The sequence below is a fragment of the Homo sapiens genome, chromosome 18, assembly GCF_000001405.40.
Source record: "Homo sapiens chromosome 18, GRCh38.p14 Primary Assembly".
NCBI classification, from domain to species: domain Eukaryota; kingdom Metazoa; phylum Chordata; class Mammalia; order Primates; family Hominidae; genus Homo; species Homo sapiens.
Genome location: NC_000018.10, coordinates 52,907,778 through 52,932,931, shown reverse-complemented (window position 1 = coordinate 52,932,931; position 25,154 = coordinate 52,907,778). Strand labels below are relative to the sequence as shown.

The 25,154-nt window shown below is 33.8% G+C and overlaps 1 protein-coding gene across 4 annotated transcripts in view; it reads right to left on the bottom strand.

Annotated features, from left to right (window-relative positions):
* Window positions 1–25,154, bottom strand: part of DCC (DCC netrin 1 receptor) — a 1,195,703-nt gene that overhangs the window by 602,968 nt on the left and 567,581 nt on the right. For all 4 annotated transcript variants that reach the window (NM_005215.4, XM_017025568.2, XM_017025569.2 and 1 more), the window contains exons 4-5: window positions 9,075–9,225; window positions 7,562–7,698 (exon numbers count right to left, since the gene is read on the bottom strand). In NM_005215.4, coding sequence (NP_005206.2) covers window positions 7,562–7,698; window positions 9,075–9,225 — 288 coding nt within the window. The remainder of the gene's footprint in view (window positions 1–7,561; window positions 7,699–9,074; window positions 9,226–25,154) is intronic.

The window sequence follows — 25,154 nt, the reverse complement described above, 5'->3', positions numbered from 1 at the left end:
TTGCAGAATCAGAACCTCATTTAATGGTTGAGATAATCATATGCATTTGAAAGAAAATAATAAGTTTAAAGGGAAACTTTAGAAATAGAGAGTAAGTGCATGTATTGCATATATATGTATATACTATGTTTATGTATATGTATGCACATATACAAAAATATACGTGTGTATGTATATCTATATCTATATATAAATATTCTGAGTCTATCATCTTCAGGCTTATTGAACACATCTGTGTAAGGTGGACATGCTCAGCTCTATAGAGAGAACTCTACTTAACACATTCCTAGAGGGCAATTACAAGTTTTTTGTGTTGCTACACAACTGCTTTAAAGGGAATTCTAGAACCATTTCTGGAAAGTTCAAAGATATTTTTATTTTCTCACTGATGTTCAACTTAATGGCTCCTACTGAAGAGACCATCCTCAGTAAAGTTCCCACTCATCTCCACCTGTGTGTGTAAGGACAGTACACAAGGTTTGTCCAAAGCCTGGCACTTTGTAAAAGATCAAATCACTTTTTAAATTATGCATTTCTGCACTGATTCAGACATGGGATCAATCTAGACCCAAAGCAGTGGCAAATCTCTAGAACATTTATGGAGGACTGTCTTTCTTCCTGTGTGGAGCTGGGTAAAAGTTGGGGATGGGCAGATACAGAAAAGGATATGTTCACAATTATAGTCAGATTAAAATCCTTGAGCCAGAAAGCTGGACGTATTGAACATAAGAATGGAAAAATACCACTTTTGACTTCTTTTATAAAAGTTAGGTTTTAAAATAAATAATACAAGTAGTCATGGCTAAAATTAAATTAAAAAGTTGACAACAATATTCCAAGAGCCTCCTTCCACATTTTCTTCTTTAGGACTCCTCCCACCCCTGCCTCTTCGGGCTTTGTTTTCTATGAGAGTGGAGACTACCAACTCTTCATATCTTCCCAGAGTCCCTGTTTACATATAACATTTTCGTTTTTTCTTTTTTTAAATAAAAGTTTATTCAGACAGTATTAGGCCAACTGATTTTACGAATTGTAATTATACGAAGCCCACTGAAGCCAGGTTTCAGATGTTTCTGTAGTCTTCCCAGAACCTAGTGCAATCCTTGTACCCAAAAGGTGTCCACCAATACTTTATCGATGATTACTGTAAGTCAGAAATGCTACCATAAATGGCTATGATAAAGAAAATACCTATGAACTTATTTATATTTTATTTATTGTAAATAAGGTTGTCATTAATCTTGTCTAATAAAGATATCTCCAAAAAGCTTAATGATTATGGAATTTTCCATTTTTATTTTATAAGAAGGAAACAAAATGCTAAGCTTCAAATTATATTTAATGTATATTCACTCTGTAAAATTACTGAGGAGGGCAACAAAATGTCTTTTCTTCTAGTCTATAAAATGATATTCTACTTGAAAAGTCTGTTAGTTCATGAAGGTTCACATTCACAGACAGTTAAGTACAAGAAAGGACTGCAAGTTGAAAGGCAAAACAAGAGTCTAATAAAATGCGTGATTAAAGTTTTATAAGCAGAAGCTTGGATTTCTTGTGGGATTTTATCTTATGAAGAATACAAATATGATTAAATTCTTAAAAATTATGAAAAGTAAATTTAAATAACATTGATAATAAAGTTCTTTTCTTATCATCCATTTTAAGAAGGCAATAAATTCAATTTTTCATATAAACTCAGTCCTGCAGGATAATCCTAACTTTATATCAGAGTAGTCAAAGATTATTTCAAACATTATACAAATATTCATTTTTGGAGCCTTTTAGAATAATTAAAACAGCATATCAACCAAATCCTGAAGTAAATTATGCCTTCTAGAGTAGTTATAAATGATATAAAGTCCATGAGAGACCTTTAAAATATGTCCAATTACCAAAAAAAATCCCTTAAAAACAGACAAAAAGAACCAAGACCATGAAAACTCAAAATATAAACATATCACTATTTTTTAGAAATTAATCATGCTTCTAATTTAAACATTCAACATGTAATCCATAACCAGATTTTTAGAGATAGCATGGTTCATAGAATAAAAATGTAAGTCTAATGACAATGCTAGCAACCATGAAGAAAAAGATTTGGTGCCATATGCAAAATGTAAAAATGCAAAGGCATACACAACATAGTCAATATTATTCTTACATAAAGAGTTTCTGTAATCAATAAAATAAGGATAAATGTTTCAATAAATGTATGAAGGTCAAAAAAGACAGCAAATTCACAAAATGTAAAATGCAAATGTCCAAGAAAACTATAAAATGAAATCTTAATTTAATAGGAATATAAATACTTACAAGGAGACTCCATTTTATAAAATGTTTAGATATTCAAAATTGTGGGGGAAAATGCACTCTGAAGGGAGGCAAAGTTTTGCTCTGCCAGTGAGGGTTTAAGTATTTCTGGGATACTTTTCCTTCAGATATGAGCAAATAAATGACAAAGATACTTAAGGATAATTAACTTAGTGGGTTGTTTTTGTTTTTGTAGATACAGGATCTTGCTATGTTCCCCAGGATGGACTAGAGCTCCTAGGCTCAAAAGATCCTTTCCTTCAGATTCCTGAGTAGCTGGGACTACAGGTGCAAGCCACCACACCTCGCTTAATTAAAACTAAGAAACATGATAATGTTCCACAATATAAAGCTGAAGGTTGGGTGCGATGGCTCATGCCTGTAATCCCAGAACCTTGGGAGGCCAAGGTGGCAGGATCACTTCAGCCCAGGAGTTTGAGATCAGCCTGGGCAATATAACCAGACCCTGTCTCTACAAAAAAGAAGAAAAAAAGAAAAGAAAAAGAAAAGAAAGAAAAAATAAATAGCCAAATTTGGTCCAAGATACTTGGGAGGCTGAGAATGGAGGATCATCTGACACCACGAACTCAAGGCCACAACAGAGCAAGACCCTGTCTCAAAAAGAAAAAAAAATTAGAACTGGAGAAGATAGACATGTGCACAGGCACACACAAAGAAAGATGCCATGATTTATCCTGAAGTGAAAATGAGGATACAATATAGCATACATTTCACTTATATGGAGAAAACAAACGTGAGTGTGTGTGTGTGTGTGTGTGTGTGTGTGTGTGTGTGTGTGTGTGTTTGCAAAGTCCAGGTCTTTGGATTATGTGTATGTTAGCATAATCTCAATATTTTCTGAGTTTTAACATTTTTATTTATCTCATTTTTAAACCATAAACATGTCAACTTTTATACCTCCACATTTATTTTTCTGATTATACAAACGGCACACCACTTTGAATAAACAAGAAGTTACAGTAAAAAAAATAAGCAATACCCGATATTGAGTACACTTTTCACCTGCCTCTGTGTCTACAGATTCGAAGTATGGCAGTTGTTTTAACCTCATTTTCAAAGAACAGCTTGTATTCCTTTCTTCCCTGCTCCCCTGTCAGCCTTTCTGCTTTGTCAAGATCATTACATTACGGTCACGTATTTTATTTTATGTAAGTGACTAATTATTAACCAAACTAAAATTTAAAATTGTTCTTATTTACATCACATAAACCTGCTTTTTTTTATAGCTGTTTCAGTAAGATTAAAAATAAATAATAAAAAACGATGAATAGGAATGTGTGGAGCAGACAGGGCAGACAGTAAAGCATATGCCTAAGACTCTTTGGTCGGATGCCTGGATTTGGATCTGGATCCCCCCTTGGGATAGCCACTTATCTTTCTGTGCTAAAATGCCTTCGTTTGTAAAACGGGATTAAAAGTAGCACCTAAGGTTGGGGTGTGGATGTTGAATACTTCTGCCTCAATACTGATATTTTCTTCCCTAGAGAGGCAGCTCCTCGAGGGAATGACTTCTGACCTCACCACTCCCCAGTACCCACTTTTTCTTGGTTTGAGGGGAGCCTGGATCAGGATACATGACAGATAACTTAATGAGCCTGGAAGTTTGAAGAGACTCCTTTCACCTACAATTCTCTCTTGGGAACAGGCCTGACCAAAGAGAGCAAGTGCTCTCCATTGCCACCAGCCACCAAGCAGTGGGACAAGCTGACACCTGAGTGACATCCTGCCAATATAGACACTGCCCATGTCCAGATGGGCATGTGCCTCCCATGCAGATGCAAACCATGGTCAACGGCAGCTTCTTCAACAAATTAAGGTGATGTTTGACTTACCCTATGCCTTACTGCTGTTCTTGTTTCTCACTTGGTACAGAAGCACAGAAGGCAAGAGGGTTGTTATCTAATGGGCTCGACCTACGTACTTCCCACAGAGGATACTGTAACAAATAAATGTCTCACATGGTTTGAACTCAGTAAATGCTGTTTCTAATATATCTATGTGTATATCTATCCACATATATGTACATATATACACATATAAATATGCACGCACATGTGTGCATATGTACATGTTTTACATACATGTGTACACATAGATTAAATTACTAATGCATATTAACTGTATTATATTACGTTAATTTATGTTGTCAATTTTTTAAACTTTTATTTTAGATTCAGGGGTACAAGTACAGGTTTGTTATATAGATAAGTTGCATCTCACTGGGGCTTGGTGTACAGATTATTTTGTCATCCAGGTAATAAGCATAGTGCTCGATAGTTTTTTGGTTCTCTTCCTTCTCCCACCCTCCACTCTCAGTAGGCCCCAGTGTCCCACATTGGAAACTAAACATCAAGTACCTAAGGACACACTTTGCATCTTTGTGTCCATGTGTACTCAATGTTTAGCTTCCACTTATAAATAGGAAAATGCCATATTTGATCTGCTCCTGTATTAGTTTACTTAAGATAATGGCTCCATCCATGTTGCAGCAAAGGCCATGATCTTGTTATTTATCTGGCTGCATAGTATTCCATGGTGTATATTTACCATATTTTCTTTATTCAGTCTACCACTGATTGGCATTTAGGTTGATTCCATACCTTTACTATTGTGAATAGTTCTGCAATGAACATACGCATGTATGTATCTTTATGGTAGAATGATTTACATTCCGTTGAGTATATACCTAATAACAGGATTGTTGGGTCAAATAGTAATTCTACTTTAAGTTATTTGAGGAATCACCACACTGCTTTCCACAATGGCTGAACTAAGTCACATTCCCACAAGCAGTGTATAAACATTCTCTTTCTCTTTTCTCCACAACCCCGGCAATATCTGTTATTTTTTGACCTTTTAGTAATAGACATTCTGACTGGTGTGAGATGGTGGTTCTCATTGTGGTTTTCATTTACATTTCTCTAATGATTAGTAATGTGGAGCATTTTTTGGATGCTTATTTTCAATATTTTTTACATAATAACACTAGTCAAGGTTCACTAGAGGTATTGTAATAGAGACTAATCATCTGGCCTAAGGAAAAATCAAAGAAGCATCCAAGTGTCATACCACTACCAAACTTTATGTGGGCATATGTGCATCAATGAAATATGAGAAGTTTATGGAATAAAACATGCCAAGATACCAAAAGTATTCACTTCAGAGGTATAGAAATGCACTGCCTGTAGTGGAAATAATTATTAAATATTTTCTTGTGCATCTTTGGATAGTTTTATATGTATCAAACAGCATCTATTTTGTAATTTACACAATTCACAAAGAAAAAATGCCAGTATGAGTATGCCAATACATATATACACACATATAAGTATATATGTGCATATATGTGTATATGTACATATAAGTATATATGTGCATATATGTGTATATGTACATATACACCTATATATACGTATATATACACATATATACACATATATACGTATATATACACATATATACACGTATATACGTGTATATACACGTATATACGTGTATATACACGTATATACGTGTATATACACATATATGTGTGTATATATGTGTATATATATGTATTGGCATACTCATACTGGCATTTTTTCTTTGTGAATTGTGTAAATTACAAAATATATATCCATATATATGTATATATATCCATATATAGTGTATATATCATATACGTTTATATATACATATATATGTATACGTATATATACACACATATGTATGTGTGTGTATATATGTATATGTATATATACACACACACGTATATGTGTGTGTGTGTATGTATATGTATATATACACACACATATGTATATGTGTGTGTGTATATATATAGAGACTAATTTAGTTTATCCCCAGAAATCAGTATTTGCATATGTTTATCTCAGATATCAACGAACCATTACATGTCAAAATAATGTGCATTAATTTGAAATAAAATTTGACCTCATGCAAGTAATGCTTTACCTATGACCAGTGTAAATTCTAGCGTATTCCATAACCAAATCTGCCTTATAATCAGTAATATACAGCACAATACAATTTCCATCATAACCATTTTGTGTTACTGAATTTTGATACTACAAATGTGAAAGTTCTCTATTCTTTGTTTCACCAAAATATGAAATATGACTCAATTAAACTGTGCCATTTTAAAGGCAGCTAATATTTTAGTTAGTATAATACTACCTCTAAATCCAGGGTTTAAGTCTTTTGCCCATTCCTGGTTTAATGTTTATGATTTGATCAAAGAACAAGCAACGTCATTATCTAACCCATGATATACATTATTACCATGTCCACAGATGAAAGTGTTTTCTGAATAACCTTTGAAGACAAAAAGCAAAATGGATGGAATAATATCATGGTATAACTTAGCAAATATAATCAGCATATGATATATTTTCATTTTTACTTAATAACTTTTAAATAGACTATGATTTTTCTGAGATTCTTTAAAAGGCAAAAAGATTTATTCCAGAGGAAAAATTCCTAAGATTCAATGTTTGGTTGTTGTTACAGAAAAAAAGCAACTGAAATCCAAATGTTAAGGCACTTTCTCCAAACTACATAATTCAAATAAAACTGGTTAAAATAAATCTGGAGTAAGTGATAAAAATATGTGTTTGTTTGAATAACTGCCATGTAGAAGAATTATTTGTTTGCAATGACACATGGGTAACCCTGCCTTTTGGAATATAATGAACCCCTCAATCCTCCTTAAATCTGTTTAAATTATATTCTTGCTATGCAACTTTTCCTTACATATACTTTATTTTAATGGTTCACTTTCAACACTCACAGTATTCCCATGTTAATAAAAAAATCTTACCAACATACTGAATTTAATGTCAGAAACCCTGTCATCTCAAATAACATCTGCCTTTTTCCCCTCAAGGATAAATATTTTGTACAATTTTCCTTCATTTATTTTCCCAGATATTTTGTAATATCATATTTATTATTCAACACATCTGCCATTAATAATTTTTGGTACTTTTCAGCTGTATCACTGGAATAATTAGACTAAAGCATAATATATCTGGATTTTAATTAATAAGTATTCAAACATTGCATATAACCCCTATGCAATTAATCAGAGCAAAGCAAGGACATGTGTGGAGTATTGGGACTTTGCAATTTCACACTAATAAACATAGGAATCAATTCAGTGATGAGCATTAAAATGTCGCGGTGATATACTTTGAAAGGTACAATATAAACTCATCTCCAGCCACTAACTTACCCAAGACTGTGAGCTCTGCAGAGGCACTAATATTCTCATTTTTATATGTGACAACACAGGTATACATTCCACTGTCATCATCTGTCACATTGGAGATAAGCAAGTTGCTTCCACCCAATAAAGAATACTTTTTAGACCTGCAAGACATAGGGAAGGTGCAGAGTAAATTAACATATGTATATATTAAGCAAGATACTCAGAGCTTTAAATGACCTCCACCAAAGCTCAAATTAAGACACTTGAAAGAAACTGTGTATCATAAGGGCTTGATTAAAGTCTCACTTATTGATCCAAAAATTCACTCAAGGTAAACTACTCCCATTGGAAGATTGTGTGTAGCGATCAAATAAATGAAGCAGATTAAACTTGGAAGTAACTTTAGTGCTAAAAAAAAAATGATAGATAATCTAGTCCAAATCTCTCATTTTGGATTTGAGAACCTCGAGGTCTAGAGAAGTGGTACTCTGAAGTGAAAATCAATGTCCTGTGTCCTGAAATCCAATTTAGTAACCTTTGTACAAAACCATATTTGATACTGCACTAAGAGTGCTTGGCTATACGCAGAGAACACACCTTGATGTGCTGAAATGGTAACTGGATTTCTTGTGTGTTCTAATGTTCTCAAAAATACTGTAATATCATATGCCATGCCTTGTTGTTATCTAAATATTTAAGGTAAATGAAATTTAAAGATTAATTTATGATTGATGGACTTACCTTCTCTATAAAAATAAATATGTTAAAAAGGAGAATACCAGTCCTCAAAAATCAATGAAATTAAGTAAGATCCATTTCATCAGAAAGACTAAGTATTCCATTCTATTGAGAGTTTATTTTCTAACTGTATCTTAATATTAATATTCCAGCAATTCAAAGCCAGCCAAGTTATTCTGTCTTCCCTTAAATATTTGTTATAGCTGGGAATATGAGCGATATAGTTGAAGCTAAAAAAAATTGCTCAAACTCTATAATGACATGCTACATATTTGAATTCAGAAAAATTTAGTTTCATTTTTCCCCTTAGCTTTATTGAAGTACAGTTGACAAAAATTGCATATAATAACAGTGTAGACTGTAATGTTTTGGTATATGTATACATTGTGAAATGATTATCACAGTTGAACTGATGATCATATCACTTCACATAGTTATCTTTTGTGTGTGACACAGAATATTAAGGATCAAACCTCTCTATATACCACTTTCTTATAATGGAATCCACCAAAATTTCTCTGCTGAAGACTCTTTGGACAGGACCATCTCAAAGGCAGCCCTGACTTCCTCAGTTTCCTTTCAGAATTGATCCCATGGATTTTGATCTTTTCCTCATCTTCTCATCCCAGTGGCTAAATATCTTTCATATAACTGTATCATGCCAAGAAATGTGGAAAAATATTCAATTATTATGAAAAACCCTAGTACTGTAGGTACTTATATCAAATTAGAGAAATATAAATAGCAGCATATACCATACAAAAGTACACTTTACAAAAAAGTCTTAAATGTGAAATACCTGAGTTGGATGACTTCCTCGCCTCGTAACCAGGTAAAACTTGGTGGAGGATAGCCAGAAACACAACATTCCAGGACAGCATCTTTTCCTTCAATGGCTACTACATTGGATGGTCTTTGCAGAAAATACAGCTGTCTATGCAGTCCTGGATCTATGAGGGGAAAACACAGTATCATATGATATATGAAAAACATTGCAAAGATAAATGATATATTTTGATTTTTTTCCTAACAAAAGATGGAAAGAAAAATGAAAAGATGCCAATGAAATTTGTAAACTCCTAAAATAGTTTTTTTCATCCCAAGTGTATAGGATTATGATATTGAAATATTCTTAGCTGTTGATGACATCATGGTATAGGGCATCAGCTTGAGGCTATTCATGTATCTGAGGCTACCCATAAGTAAGCAGGAATTGTTTACTTATCAGCATTAGAGAACAGAAAAATGTCAATAGCTTTTCTAAATGTTATTGTCCAAAACTTATTGATATGTTCAGTTTGCCTACCACCAATATCTATTCTACTTTCTTCTACATTGTTTATTGCTTCTGTGGCTTGGAAAATAAGAGAAACAAATATATTAGAATTTGACATATTCAAATTGTATTAAATAGCGTACAGGTACTGAAGAGTAGAATACACAGGTGCTGAGAAAATAACTGCTTTCTTAGAAAAGGAAGTCAGATTTATATAACTGAAGTTGGTTTATTTTATAACTAGTCTGTGTCTGGCTTTTTATTTTTAATTTTAACAACATTTCAAAGAGTGAGTTTGCCCCTAGAGCTGAAACCCTGGGTCAGTGAAGGTCTCTGCATCCTTCTACTTCATCTGATGCATTTACTAGTTCTATATATGGAACACTATTCACTTTTACTAGCAGATAACTGAAACAGTCTTTATGCGACTTAGGAAGTCTTTTGATTCAATCCTTAAATGCATTTCATCCAAAGTTGCTAAGATTATATCAGGTGGAATAAGCAAAAAATTCACAAAGTTCTAAGCCCCAAATGCAATGCTCAAGTAGGCTTGCGGACAGTTAAGAGCTTCTATTTACCTTCCTATATAAGCTCTACTGATAATGCCTGGGGACACACCAAAACCAGTCCTTGGAGGAGGGTGTTCTACCCATGGCAACATCCTCTGACCAGACCTGTTGACTAAAATTATGTCACTCAAAGTTTATTTGAGACAAGATGCTGTGTTTTCAAGTACCCATGAAAATCCACATCTCCTGAGGAAGACTTAATTGAAGTCATCTTCAACCAAATTCATTCAGTGGGATTAGCCAATAATCTGTCATTTTGCAGACTCAAAGCAAAATCTGGATGCAAAGAAAATGAGGCAATGAAATCTTTTAAACTAGGATCGGGGTGAGGAGAATCGCTGAGTGAGGACAGACCCAATCGGGTCATAGCATGAGCTGCTGGTGGTCAAAGAGAATATAAAGTGGGAGGGGACATAGGACATATTTGACATTATCTTTAGTCTTCATTAGCCTGACCCAACTCCACACAGGTATATCACAGTGTAATAAAAAGGACACCAGTTCTCAAGCTAGTAGTTGAGACAGTAATTGTTATCTAAAGTATTCTTTGCGTGGAGAAATAAAATTTCACACTTTCTCAGTCTTCCCACATTTGCTTCTGGTTGTTCCAGCAACAAAAATAAATACTCTTCACAATGAAAATATTGAGAACATTTTCCAAATGTGTTCATCTTTATTATATCAATACTGTAGAAAAATGTCTCAGAACTTTTGAAAATTGCTGATGGTATGCTTCATTTCCTTTCTTCAAAGTGACTTTTCAAATCTCGCAAATATGGTTTGAAAGACAATACTGCTTAATAATAAATTTCCTGAACACGAAAGTTCCCAAAATATATATTTACAAATAGTTGCCTTGATATTAGAGGCCTATGCATTTGAATATTTTACTTTTACCATCTGCTCCTCGGTAGAAATGTTTCTACAACTTACACTATACAATACCGTTCTACAATATCCCCTGTGAAAAACATCAAGATCTACTTAATCTTCTAGCTAAAAAAGAAAAAAAAATTACCTAGGACCTATCAACGATGCTACTAATTTACCCATGGAAGGGACACTTTTTCCTTTCATTTATATATATTATTATTATTATTATTATTTTTATTTTTGAGATGGAGCCTCTCTGTCACCCAGGCTGGAGTGCAGTGGCGCCATCTCAGCTCACTGCAACCTCCACCTCCTGGGTTCAACGGATTCTCCTGCCTCAGCCTCTCAAATAGCTGGGATTACAGTCATGTACCACCACACCTGGCTCATTTTGGTATTTTTAGTAGAGATGGAGTTTCACCATGTTGGCCAGGCTGGTCTCGAACTCCTCATCTCAGGTGATCTGCCCACCTAAGCCTCCCAAAGTGCTGGGATTACAGGCGTGAGCCACCAAGCCCAGCTGAGGTTTTCCACTCAAACTATTTTATCAGAAAACAAAATCATGCAACACAAAATGGTTATTTAATATTTTATTTAAAATTTTTTATTTACAAAACAGTTGAACAGATAGATAGTTCAGAGTATCCTCATATATCAGGTCCCCATCCCTTGCAATGCAGTTTCTCCTATTACAAACATCTTACACTAATGTGGTATAGTTGTTTTAATTCATGAACCAATATTGATACATTATCATTAACTGAAGTCCATAGCTGACATTATTTACACCCTTTACTTTTCATAATCCTATGGGTTTGACAAATGCATGTCATATATATGTATTACCATATCATTTGGAATAATCTCAGCATCCTAAAAATCCCTGAGCTTCACCTATTCATTACACTCCTGCCATCCCTACCAAACTCCAGGCAACCACTGATCATTTTACTATTTCTATAGTTGTACCTTTTCCAGGATGTCATATCACTAGAATCATAAAGTACATAGCCTTTTCAGACTGGCTTTTTTCTCACAGCAATATACATTTAAGATTCCTTCATGCATTTTCATGGCTTGATAGGTTACTTATTTTTATTGCTGGGTAATAATCCATTGTCTAGATGTACCAGTTTATCCATTCGTCTATTGAAGAATACCTTGGTGGCTTCCAGTTTTTGGTGATTATAAACAAATCTGCTATAAACATTCAAGCATACATTTTTATCAGGACATAAATTTTCAACTCAATTAAATATATTGGAGTGCAATAGCTAGATTGTATGGTAAAACTGTTTAGCTTTGTGAGAAACTGCCAAACTGTCCTCTGAAGTGGCTGTACAATTTTTCATTGCCACCAGCAAAAAAAGTTCTACATCCTTGTCAGCATTTGCTATTGCCATTATTTTTTTTGTATTTTAGCCATTCTAATACACGTGTAATGGTATATAATAGATGTTTTAAGTTGCAATTGCCTAATGACATATGTTAAACATATTCTTATGTTTACTCTCCATTTTTATATATTCCTTGGTGAGGTGTCTGTTCAGATCTTTTATCTATTTTTAAATTTATTTCTTTCCTTTTAATAATTTGTTGTGTGTTTCGGATTGAAGCCCTTGATCACAAGTGTGTTTTGCAAATTTTTTTTCAATCTGTGGGTTGTTTTTTACTCTTTTAAAAGTATCTTTTGTAGAAGATAAGTTTTTAATTTTAATAAAGTCCAACTTATCAACTTCTCCTTTCATGATTATTTAGACGTTATACCTAGAAATGCATTGCCAAATTTGCTTACCTATATTTTTTCCTACATTATCCTCTAGAAGTTTCATAATTTTGTGTTTGAATTTAGGTTTACGGTCCATTTTGAGTTAATCTTTGTGAAAGGTATGTCTGGATTCTTTTTTTTTTTTTTTTTGTATATGGACATTCTATTGTTCCAGTACCACTTGTTGAAAAGGCGATTTTTTTCTCCACTGACTTGATTTTGCTCAAAGATCAGTTGACTGTATTTGTCTGGGTCTATTTTAGGGAGCTCTCCTCTGTTCCATGGATCTATTATTTTGCCAATACCACACTATCTTGACTGTTGTAACTTTATAGTAAGTCTTGAAGTCAGGTGGTGTCCATCCTTTGACTTTGTTCTTCTTATTCAGTATTGTGCTCTCTATTCTGGGTCTCTTGTCTTTCCATGTAACTTTTAGATTCATGTTGTTTAACAAAATTACTTACCAATATTTAATCTTTGTTTTAAAATATCAGTGGTCCAGGCATCACTGGACTTATTCAGCCAAAAAAAAAAAGAACCATCGACTTTTCCATTTTCAGATAGAGCATATATGGTCCAGATTACTCCAATCTTGACTTGGCTCATTTCAGTGATGTTTGTTACCATCGTAGCTTCATAGGCATTGGAATTTGTACATACATTCATATGAAAATGTCAGCTTTTGCCAGAAAAACATGATCTTATTTCCCCAATAAGTTTGGTATTTCTTTATATCATTTGATAAGTTCAAATAGTAAGAAAGTTCCCCCAAAAGGAACACAATTTTTCATTAATAGTAAGTAGTTCATACATTTTACAACTTTGTGCTAGATTAATGATCAAAAAATTTTTTAATATTCTCTAATCCAAAAGGGATGCCTTTTACTCTTGTTGTAAATAAGGCCTGGCCTTGTATCTTGCTTTGACTGGTAGATTATGGTGAAAGTCACGCTGCATGAGCTCTGCAGCCACGGTCTCAAAAGGCCTTACAGCTTTTGCCATTGCTGTCTCTGACACTACCATGTAAGTCTAGCCAAATGGAAGACAGAAAGTCACGTGGAGAATAACTGAGGCACTCAGTCAACAGCCAGCACTAGCTGTCGGGCATGTGAGTGAGGCCATCTTGAAACCTCTCTCTCAGCCAAATGCACATAAGTGAGGCCAAGTGTAACCAGCAGAGAAACTGTTCATATAAACTATAGAATCATAAGAAATCATAAATCATTACTGTTTTGAGTCATTAAATTTTTTAGTTTATTATGCTGCAAAAAATAACTGAAATATATACATAAAAATGAAACCAAGATCTCAGAAACTTAAAATACCAAATAACTTTGTTATTTCAGTTTGATTTTTAGTTTGTTTTTGCACTGCTGAAATGTTCTACAGAAATATTATTAAACTAGATATCTGCCTTATTTTTCTCCTTTATTTACAATATGAGTTTTAGAGAGGAGGATTAAGAAAGTATATTTATATTTTTAAATGAGGAGGATAAAGATGCAATTTTCAAGGTTAATGTTGTGTGATGGAATTATGGGTGGTTTTTTCATCTTTGGATTCTTGCGTATTTTCTAAAGGTTTTAAAATAACATGTAGTATTCTTAGAGTACAGAGTTATCTTAAACTCTAGTATTGCAAAGTGTGTAGAAATTGTACCAGGAGCAAACAATTATAAAAGTTAATGACTAACATTCGAGGCACATATTTAAGAGCAAAGGAAAATTTTTCCTCTAAGCTCGGTAAGAATAGATTAAAAGGCCCTGGGAGATGTGAACTTAAAATTCTAGGTTGTGAGTCTTGTTGACTAAATTGATTTTAATGGAACCATGATGAAATTAGTAATTACTGATTAAAAATCATTTGTGTTCTCGTTATATGGGCACCACTATTCATATCCAAATGCAATTATTCAGCTAATAGAATATAAAGACTTTTCCAGTAAATTAATGAACATAGTTCAATTACAGGAGAGGGTATCAGAATGCAAATTTGTAATGTTCTATTTCATAAATTGGTTGACACATACATGGTCATTTTCCATTTTATTCTCTAAGATATACATATATTTCATGTACTTATATGTATCTATGGCATATTTTAAAATAAAACTGAGAGAAAAATATAAGCGTGGGTCCTAGAAAACATATTTGACAATAGTTTTATTCAAGCCAGCAGAAAAAAATGGATTTTTTTCTAATGTCAAATTTTGGTATTAAAATCTACAAAAGCATACCTCTTTAATGTGATGCTCATGAACGTAAATGTACAAAGTTATGTAACTATTTTTCTAAATCGATTAAAAGCAGTAATGCTTTACTTGAACTCAAGCCTAGTTTAGCATTTCCCTATTGGGGAGAAAATGTTAACCTGATTCTTTGAACTGGTCTGTTTGTTATCCTGGTGGCAGTACAGATAATCCTCCCAGACAGCAAGAGGGTGGTATGGAAATAAAGAGAAAACAGTCATTACAGTGATACTGATCTCAGGCTACACAGGGTGCCTTAAAATGTGGAACCACCCTATGGCAATACGTTGCCTTTGCTATCCTTTCCTTTCTCTCTTTCCTCTTCACTTTTTTCTAAATAGAAATATTGACCTACTTTAGCTTAATCTGTTACCTGAGTTGAGGATGACCAGTCTACAATCATTACAACAAAGAATAACGATGCAGACAGTGAATCCCAAACTGTTGGGTCTCAGGAACTTTTGTGCTTTTGAAAATTATTGAATATCCCCTTGAAGCTCTTTAGCTTTTGATTATACAGGATATAGCAACAAATACATTCCATACTAAAAATCAAAACAGATTTTTAAAATATTTGTTCATTAAATATTGATTCTTTTTGAAACAGAGTCTGTCTCGCTCTGTTGCCCAGGCTGGGTTGCAGTGGCATGATCTCAGCTCACTGCAACCTCCACCTCCCTGGCTCAAGCCATCTTCCACCTCAGCCTCCCAAATAGCTGGGACTACAGGCACATGTCACTACGTCCAGCCAATATTTTTTATTTTTTTCTTGTTTTTTTTTTTTTGTTTTCTTTTTTTTTTTTTTTGAGACGGGGTTTCACCAGACTGCCCAGGCTGGTCTCAAACTCTTGAGCTCAAGCAATCTGCCTGTCTCAGCCTCCCAAGTTGCTGGGATTATGGGCATGAGCCACTGTGCCCAGTCTATTAAATATTTATTTTTACCCCATCAAAAATAATATTTTTAAAAAAACACCTATGTCGGCCAAAACAAAATTATTATTGAGTATAGTGGTAGTTCTTTCCATTTTTATAAATCTTAAAAATTATTGGTTTAATTTAAAAATACTTTCTGCATTGACATTGTTCTGTTATGTTGTTTTGGTCGAATTACATAGAAACAATCTGATCTCAAACAAACATGTAGTTGGAAAAGGGAGGTGTACTTTGATAGCCTTTTCACATAATTGTAGAGATATCCTTGAACACTTCAGCAAAACTCAATAAGCAGGGTTTTGAAAATTAGTTGTAATGTGAAATCTAGCACCATATTTATAAACGTTTTGTGCTATGTTATGTAAAAATCTACTGATCTAGCTGGTATTTTGAATAGATCTTTTACCCATGCATGATTCTGTCACATCAATCACTGGTTATTTGGATTGGTACATTGTATTAGACACATCTTCCAAATGTTGAAACATTTATAGATTAGCAAAAAGTCTCATTTGCTACTCTCACCACCAATCCCATCAGAAAGGTGCTTGAATGTTGGGAAGCTGTCAAGCTCCCAGTGGCAGATACATGTTTTGCAAATTTCTAACTTAAAAACTTGAATTTCATTCTTGGAAGTAAATATTATTTTCCTTGAAGTAGCTGGCTCACTTTGTTCATTTTTGAGAAATGTGTAACAAGTATCCAAGTGTGAACAGCAAGTTTTTCTATTGACTGTCCTTTCAAGTAAAAATGGTGTTTCATGAAGAAAAAAAAAAAAAAGGTAGCTAATTCAGCTTGAAACACAAATGACCTCAGAAGTGTTTACCATGCAAAACCCATTATACTTTTATTTTTGCGTATGTATTTTCCTATGTTGACACATGTGGAATACTAAAAAGATGTGTACTTTAAGGATCGAGACAATAAAATTAATAATTTTCACTGCTTTTTCATGGACATTCTTAAGCCAACATGGTAAAAAACTCAAAAGATATATATTATTATTAAAATAAATCTTTGACCTCGCAGATCCCCTGAAAGCATCTCAAGAAATTCCAAAGTTCTAGGTATCTACCATACTTTGAGAACAAATGCAGACACAGTCTCATAAAATTAATCATGTTTCTGAAATACTCAAGAAGCCCATTTTCCTTCAACATAGAAATGGTTTTGTATCTCTCAAATAGAAATTGATAAATATATTTCTTCTTTTTCCCTCTTTCAGTCCCCTTTTCCTTCCTTCCTCTTTTCTGCCTCTCTTGCCCCTCTTATTTTGCCTTTGAGAAGATAGTGCAAAATTAAATATGTTCAATTACTATATTTCAGCAATAATTTGTTAAAAGTCAAATAGCATCATGGATCATATAACCTGACACATTTATTTACACTTAATATATTCAGAAACAAAAAGTCAACTATCATCAGGCCCCATGCCCTAAAGAAGGGAAGATGTATTAAAGGAAGAGAATATTTCCTTTTTAAAGAATTGTTTTAAAAAAGGTTAAAACATTACAATGGTCAAATTAATTGAGTGTGTGTGACATACTGAGGGGCATATTCACTGTCCATATTCACAGATTTTCCCAAATGTCTTTGGGGCCACACTATTTTATCTTCCCTCATGGTAGATGACTAGGTTGGTCATATAAATTATCCAACCTGGGACCCTAAACACTCCTTACAATTATTTTAGGACACTGGATGTGATCAAATGTATCCTGAGTAAACAAGAATTTATGCTAATGCAGTGATGACTACGGCTTTCCTTTAACAGGGCCATTTCCCTAAACAGTTATTTAGGAACCTCAACATGAAATTTACGGCACTGAATCTAAAGAATAACTGAGACACAGAGAAATTAAATTATGGACTGTTGACATCTGCGTTGGCAAGAAAAAAATACCAGTTTTCACAACTTAATAACTGTCTTCCTCAAAATAACCAGTAGTTGCTTTTAATTTTTATGCTTTCTGAATGCAAAAGCCTTTTTTCCTCATTGTGTACTCCTCGGTTTTCTTTATTAAATTCCTGCCTCCATGGAATATCAAACACATTTCCAAATGGAAATGAAAGGGCACTGCAGGCTACTGTGGGGTATTTTCTTTGATTTCTTCCCAGGCATAAGAGTTACAAATTAATTTAACTTCAGAGAGCTAGTTTGCTCTGTCTGCATCCTCAATTTCAAGCTAACCTACTGTTCACCTGCTGGCTGCTTAGCCATCCCGCATCTAGTTCTGTTTTAGAATATTCAGCAGGTACCGTGAGCCTTCAAACACCAGTAGGTACTCTACTATGTGCTCTGAGTGAAAAATTCCATGAAACTCCTAACTCTGTGTTTAGAATATTCTTTATTGAAAAACCAGCCTAATCCAAACTGATCACGGGAACCAGAATTTATTTAATAAAAAAATGAAAACTTCCATCTGGCTGTAAGCCAAGGAGCTTTTGGACATGGAGGGAGAAAGAAGCCATTTCTCCGGAGCTATTATTCACCACTCTAGGATTCTATTATTTTCCTTCCTCATTTACACCAATTCAGTACTAAAAATGACATTCCCTCTCTGTAAATATTCCTACATCTGTTCATATTTCCTCTTTCTTTCTCTATGTACACATACATATTGCTATTTCTAGTTAGAGTCTGGCGGAAGAAAGGAAATCATCTATTCTTATCACTGGCGTATGGCTTCTACCCCTTGTGTCTCACAGCAAATTTTAAGTCTATCAGATTCATTTTGTAGCAAGTCTGAAGGAAGTGATTTTTTTTTATTTTTAGATTTTTTTTTTAATTTTGCAGCTGACAGTAGAATCCCAGAAAACAAATGTTGCCATTATGATGTGTCAAAGTTAGTTTGGAGAATCCAAAAATCTTCATGATGTATAGATACATGCATAAAGCAGCATTAAAAACTTTCCAGAAAAGCAATGGGTTTGTGATTTTGGCTCTTGTTGTTTGATAATGAACCAAAGCATTTGGACTATTTCCCATTTTGTCAGTGTTGAATCAATAAAGGTGTGCCTATAATTTATGACTAAATTTGTCTTTTTTTATGTTCCAGGAATAAATAGATGGCAAATGAGGCCAAAGAAGGAAGCAAGCTCTACAGGTCTTTTCACTATTTTTTTGTGACTTTTGCTTCATGGGTTATAAGTCTGGATCCTACACACCCTCAGGGAGGTTTTCTTGTTCATGTGAGAGTCACGGATGATTGCCTGACCCTTAAGATGACCCACCTAGGGCTGTTAAATATCACATTCATAAGTAAATGCAGAAATGACCATATTTTGGCCTCATGAGACTCTTGGGAAAAAACAGGTTCTCTCCTTTCCAAGACATATTCATTCCTTTACGTGGAGGACAATCTCAAATACATTGTTTTTGCTTTTGAACTTACAGGAAATAGTAACTTTTCAGGGAATAGTAGCTAAGAGAATATAATATAATCCATATCTAACATCACTCAAGGTCAACAATAAAAATAGAAAAAAAAACTGGTTGATTTGCTGAGGGGGAGATCACTAATTTTAGAATGATAGACATGACTAGAAAAATGTAATCAGTCCCCAAGTTTTTAAAGGTTCAGCTTGGAATCCTGAGCCTTGTTGATGTCCGTCCAAATAGCATTGGGAAATAAATAATTACGTTTTAATTCAGAATCAAACAGAAATGGTCTATGTATCCACAGTAAGTCAGGTTAGGCTTATCAACATATTAGGCTTTGTTACATCTGAATGGAATGTCATCAGCTCCATGTGAAAGACTGGTTACCTTGGTTATTGCACATTGGTTAAATGACCTGACCTACTATAACTAATTCCACTACAATAGGATTGTCAATTTACTCCTGTGCTCTGCCTAGCCCTAGTTACCAAGGAGGGCAGGCTAAAGTTATCATCTGGTGTGGAGAGGGGCACAGAATGACGTGGAACTTAGTTGTACACAATAAAAGGTATCCTATCTTCTTTTGGTGTGATTTGTGTGACAGCATAAACTGACTTAAAACTATTTTTTATTAATCTAAAAATAGAACAATCTCATATTTCATAAAATTGATTTTTGACCATTAATTATTGTGTTATAGCATGGCCTTGCAGCTTTTAAGGATTAGATTTTGTCTTGCTAACCTGAATTGTTGAAGTCTAGGATTATAAAGGCAGAGTTGAGGGTGAGTATGGAGTGAAATAATAAATGAGATCCTTTATAGTGAAAAGATTTGAAGACGCTGATGTCGTCCACCCTTTTCTCTTAACAGATAAGGAAACTAAGGGTTTGAGAGGATTAGAATTGTTCATGGGTAATGAAGATCAAACACTATCAAGCTTATTTATCTCCTGACTCCTATTTCTAAACCAGTTCCTCTTATACCATATCATACAGCAAAGGAAAATAATGTTACTGGAGAGGTAAAGAAAGGTAAAATCATGTAGCAATAAGTTACTAGAGAGGAAGAAGATGCAGGAAACTCTGACTTCTCTTAGATGTGAAAATAAAATGCAGAAATGTGCTAGGACTACAGATAAATAGCTTAAAGCATGTGTAATGAACTACCAGTAGACAAATTAATACTTATGAGACCCAGAATCCAAAATCAGGTAATTTATTACCAGAGAAATTATCTTGACATGAAAATAGAATTATTTAAAACTGGAAACTCTAAAATGCTAAGATAATTATAATAGCTACTGAGGACTTTGAAGTTACAGGCATTGTGCTTGTCTTGTCAAACTCAAGCCTCACAACCACCCTATGAAATATGTGGTATTACTTGCGACATTTTATAAGATAAATAAAGATTCAGATTAAGTAACATGCCCTAAATTGTACAATTACCAGGTGGTGAAACCAAGATTTGTACTTAATCATTCTGTGTCAGACCCCATGATATTAACCACTTACTATAACAGTTCAAGTTGGGAACTTTTAATATTTATTAACTGGTCAATGTTAAGTCAATGTTAGCAGAATCCATGGAAATAGACTGTGAGAGTCCATATGCAGACCTTTTCATGCCATCTGAATTAAATCTGATATATCTAGAAAACATGGACTTCATCTGGCTTAAATACAATAAGATCATATACTTCATTTTTTTCCAGTATATATGAGAGGAGCACAAGAAATCATTTTATCCATCTTAAATCTATGAAAGGCTAAGTGCACCCTGTTTATACCCTGGTATAAGAGAAAGTTTTCTTCAAACTAGATTTTTAAAAGAAAACACAGTATGAGAAACTCCTACAATGCAGCAAAAAAAAAAATGTTAAATATGAGACAAAAATATCAGGTAATGCATTAACCTAATGTGCTGTTCACTTCCGTTTTTTGGGTGTATGTTTATGTCAGTGTATTCATTGCTCAAAAACCTTCAGCAATGCCCAATCATCAACAAAGTTAATTGAATCAAGTCTAAATTCCTAGGCATAAATTCCCTACTTGAACTGTTATAATAAGTAGTTAATATCATGGGGTCTGACACAGAATGATTAAGTACAAATCTTGGTTTCACCACCTGGTAATTGTACAATTTAGGGCATGTTACTTAATCTGAATATTTATCTTATAAATAAAGTGAGCTCAATTTCTCATTCTGCATTTATCATCTACTGGAATCATTGTACAGACAGTTCTTCCCTTATGACCTATAAAAGTAATAATCTATGCAAACCTTCCAAATTTCCCAACTAGTTCCTTGTCTATGTTCATTTAGAACTAGAATTGTGTACCTGAATTTGCCCTTCTCTGCCTTATGTTAGTCATAGGGCTACGCGAATTAACTACCTGGCTTAATACATTTTAAAAGTGAAGAAAGTGTCCTCTTTGTTACACAGATCATTATTCCATAGAAATGGAATCTATTTTCTATAATGTAACTACATTCTATTTTTATAGAAAACATAGAAAATAGATTAGTTTTGAAATGTAAGTAATATTTAGCAAAACTGAAAAGTTTAATGTGCCATTGAGTAATAAGTTCTTAGTGATGAAGAAAAATCTAAAACTATTTGTTTTAAAACTGAAGACAGGATTTTCCTTTCAAATAAGATGGATTTTAGAATGGTTTCTGCTAATATTTATTTTAATAAAAATATAGACAAAAATCATGTATATTTTAGTCCAATTTATTTCTTTAAAAGCCAAGGTCTCTAATTAGATAAATATTTAGTTAAGGTCTATACAGGACTCAGAGTCATCTAACTGTAGTTAAACAAATAATAGATTGAATTACCAATTGATCAATTCAATTAGGCCATTAGGCAAACTAAAGAATTCCATTGTATAGGCCAGTAATTGTAGTCAGTCTAGTGCCCAAAGCAGATTTATAATTGTGCAATTCAATGTCCTGCTTGGCACTCAGACATGATGCGACATGAATAAAGTGAACTTGACAACCACAATGGCTGCTTCCATTCATCACATGTTCGCCATCACACACAATCAGACATTGTAAAACATCTCAACTCTTAGTGTTTTGTTATTGATATTTTAAAAAATGCTTTAGCACAATGTATTACTGATTCTGTTACATATGTATAATTTCCATAGCAAAAATTCAATTTGTCTTAAAACATTAATCAACAAATGAAACTAGGTACTAATTTTCCTACCTTTAATGAAACAAATAATTATCTTAATCTGGAAGAGATAAAACTTTATGGGAAAATATCTTCTAAAAAATCTATAATTTGTTTTAAACACAGTAACACTACTCTCCCACTTCCAGTCTCAATGAAAAATGCTACTAACCAGCTTCTGTCAGAGTCTGGATTCCATCCCTTCACCCATAAGCCACATGTGATATGTTTCCAGGACCAAACCAAACATCATTTCTGGATCTTCTCTGATGTTGCCTTAGTAGCTGCTTTTGGTCAATTCTCTCCAGGATGAGCGCTGTAGCATTCCACCTCATCCTCCTTACCATTTAACTCCCTTCTTTCCAGCTTCTTCCCCTTTATCGCTTCCTGCCTATGAGCCAGTCAAACAGAATATATACAGTTCGCCTGAAAAGCTTTTGATCTCTATTTTCTTTATGCTTTTCACGTGCTGCTCTTTTTCCATGGTGTATACTTCTCTTTGCCTAGCTAGTACTTGTTGGTATTGCTCTTATGAGGGTAATGGTGCTCTGTGTTTTCTTCTCTCACAGCACAGCCTACTTGCTTTGTCTATTTCTCCCATTGGACTATAAGCTTTTGTAGGGCATGGTATTCCAACATTTCATTCCTAGCAAACATCAAGATGTCAGGTATGTAAGATTCATTCAAAAGTTAATTGAATAAAGTATTTACGTAATGAATAAAGTGAAACTGGTCGCTGAAAGACAGCACTTTAAAACCACTGTTTGTTAAACTCTGAATTTAATAGACCTCAGTTACTTGGTGATAGAAGACACCTGATATATAAAAGAGGCAACCTGAAATAAGTTTCACATAGACTTGAATAAGTATATTACATTAAATATTATTTAGAATTATATAACTATAAACACACATAAATTCAAACACTTCTTATGAACTATGGTAAAAATTAATGTTGGGGAAAGTTGCAAAATTTCTCATTAACATCTACATCTCAAACTAAAGCAAGATATAAATTACTTCATCAGTCAACATGGTAATTTAGTGACTCCAGGAAAAGATATACCTTTCAAGAGTTCTAACCATTCTGGTACCATGTTGAATAGTCCTAAGTCATGCCAATAATATGATGTTTGTATATGTGCATGTATGTATTAACATGTATACACACATATGTATTATATATGTAATTTATTACTGCCTCACATTGGTACTTACAGAGAGTGAAAATTGATTCATAAAGGATTACGATGATTTTTGAAATGAGAGAACGCTAAGTGGCAACTAAGAGAAGCAGAGATTTGCCATTCATTCATTCATTCATTCATTCATGCACTCACTCAATCTTGTACTTATTGCGCATCTGTGAATTTGACCTCTAAACCAACTTGCAAACTCGAGAATGTGTTAAAAGCATTCTCCTTTAGCAGGTTCTTTATTTGGCAGCTAGCATACGAGACAGGCTTAGCCAAGTATGACAATAACCTGTGTGTGTGTGCGCATGCATGTGTACACACGTGCATGTACTATCTTAACTCAATTTTTTCTAAAGTTTATATTTGAATTCATATAATTTAGATAAAAACCCTCATTTGATGTGATGCCTTTACAAAAATATCAGTTTCAATTCAGCTAAGAAATGCTCACACATCTCAAAAGTACAACATGTTCTCTATTTTAGGCAAATTAAGAAAACAAAATTTGGCTTAAAATAAATCTCCATGGTTTACAATGCAAATGGCTGTTGCAAGGTGAAGAAACAAAGGTAAATGGGGATTTGATTATAATGTCTCTGTGTCTTTTAAAACTGCATTTCAAATTTAATATTTCATTAGTTCAACTTGATTCCTTAATACCACTGGAAAACAGATTTTCCTGTCATATTAAGATAAACATATGCTTGCCAATTTTCCATGCAGCTTACCTTGGCTTCCCATCTGATATACTCAACAGATGCATTATTAATAATATGTGAATATAAATATTTAAAACTTTGTGTATGTAATGGATACGTAAATAGATGCATGTATGTTTTGGGAATAAATGCTAGCTTTGCTTCTGTCATTGCCTAGCGGATGAAATGTAAGTGTTACCAATGGTTATTGATACATTTAAGTCAGTATCCCTGTGACTAATGGAGTAGAGAATCTGCAAAAGAGAGGTTTTAGAGATGTCCTCATTAAAGCACCTGGAAACTTTCAATTGAATTGCCAGTTTGCTTTTAGAATTACAAGAATGCTACTCTCTGCATAGCTGAAGTACTTGTGATAACTATACACAGTTAAGAGCGCAGAGACCGAAGCCAACATCCATACTTTGAGATGTAGTCAGTTCCAATTTCTCCAGTGTGTGCCTTTTTTGGGATTCTCACAAGAGCGTCTAAGTCAGTCTTACAAGTTCGGCTAAAAGAGAAAGTAGGCATTACATGAGATTCTAACTAATTAGAATCGCAAAATGAGGCCAGTGTCTTAGGGATTTCCCAGAGAAGAGAAAGTAAAATAAGAGTTGGAGAGAAATGACTTTTTTAAAATCATCATATCAATCACACCCTATTGTAATTACTTACATGTGTGCATCCACCCAGAACTCTAATGGGCCAGGCTCTGGGACAGTCTTTGCCACTGCCGGATTCCTAGTAC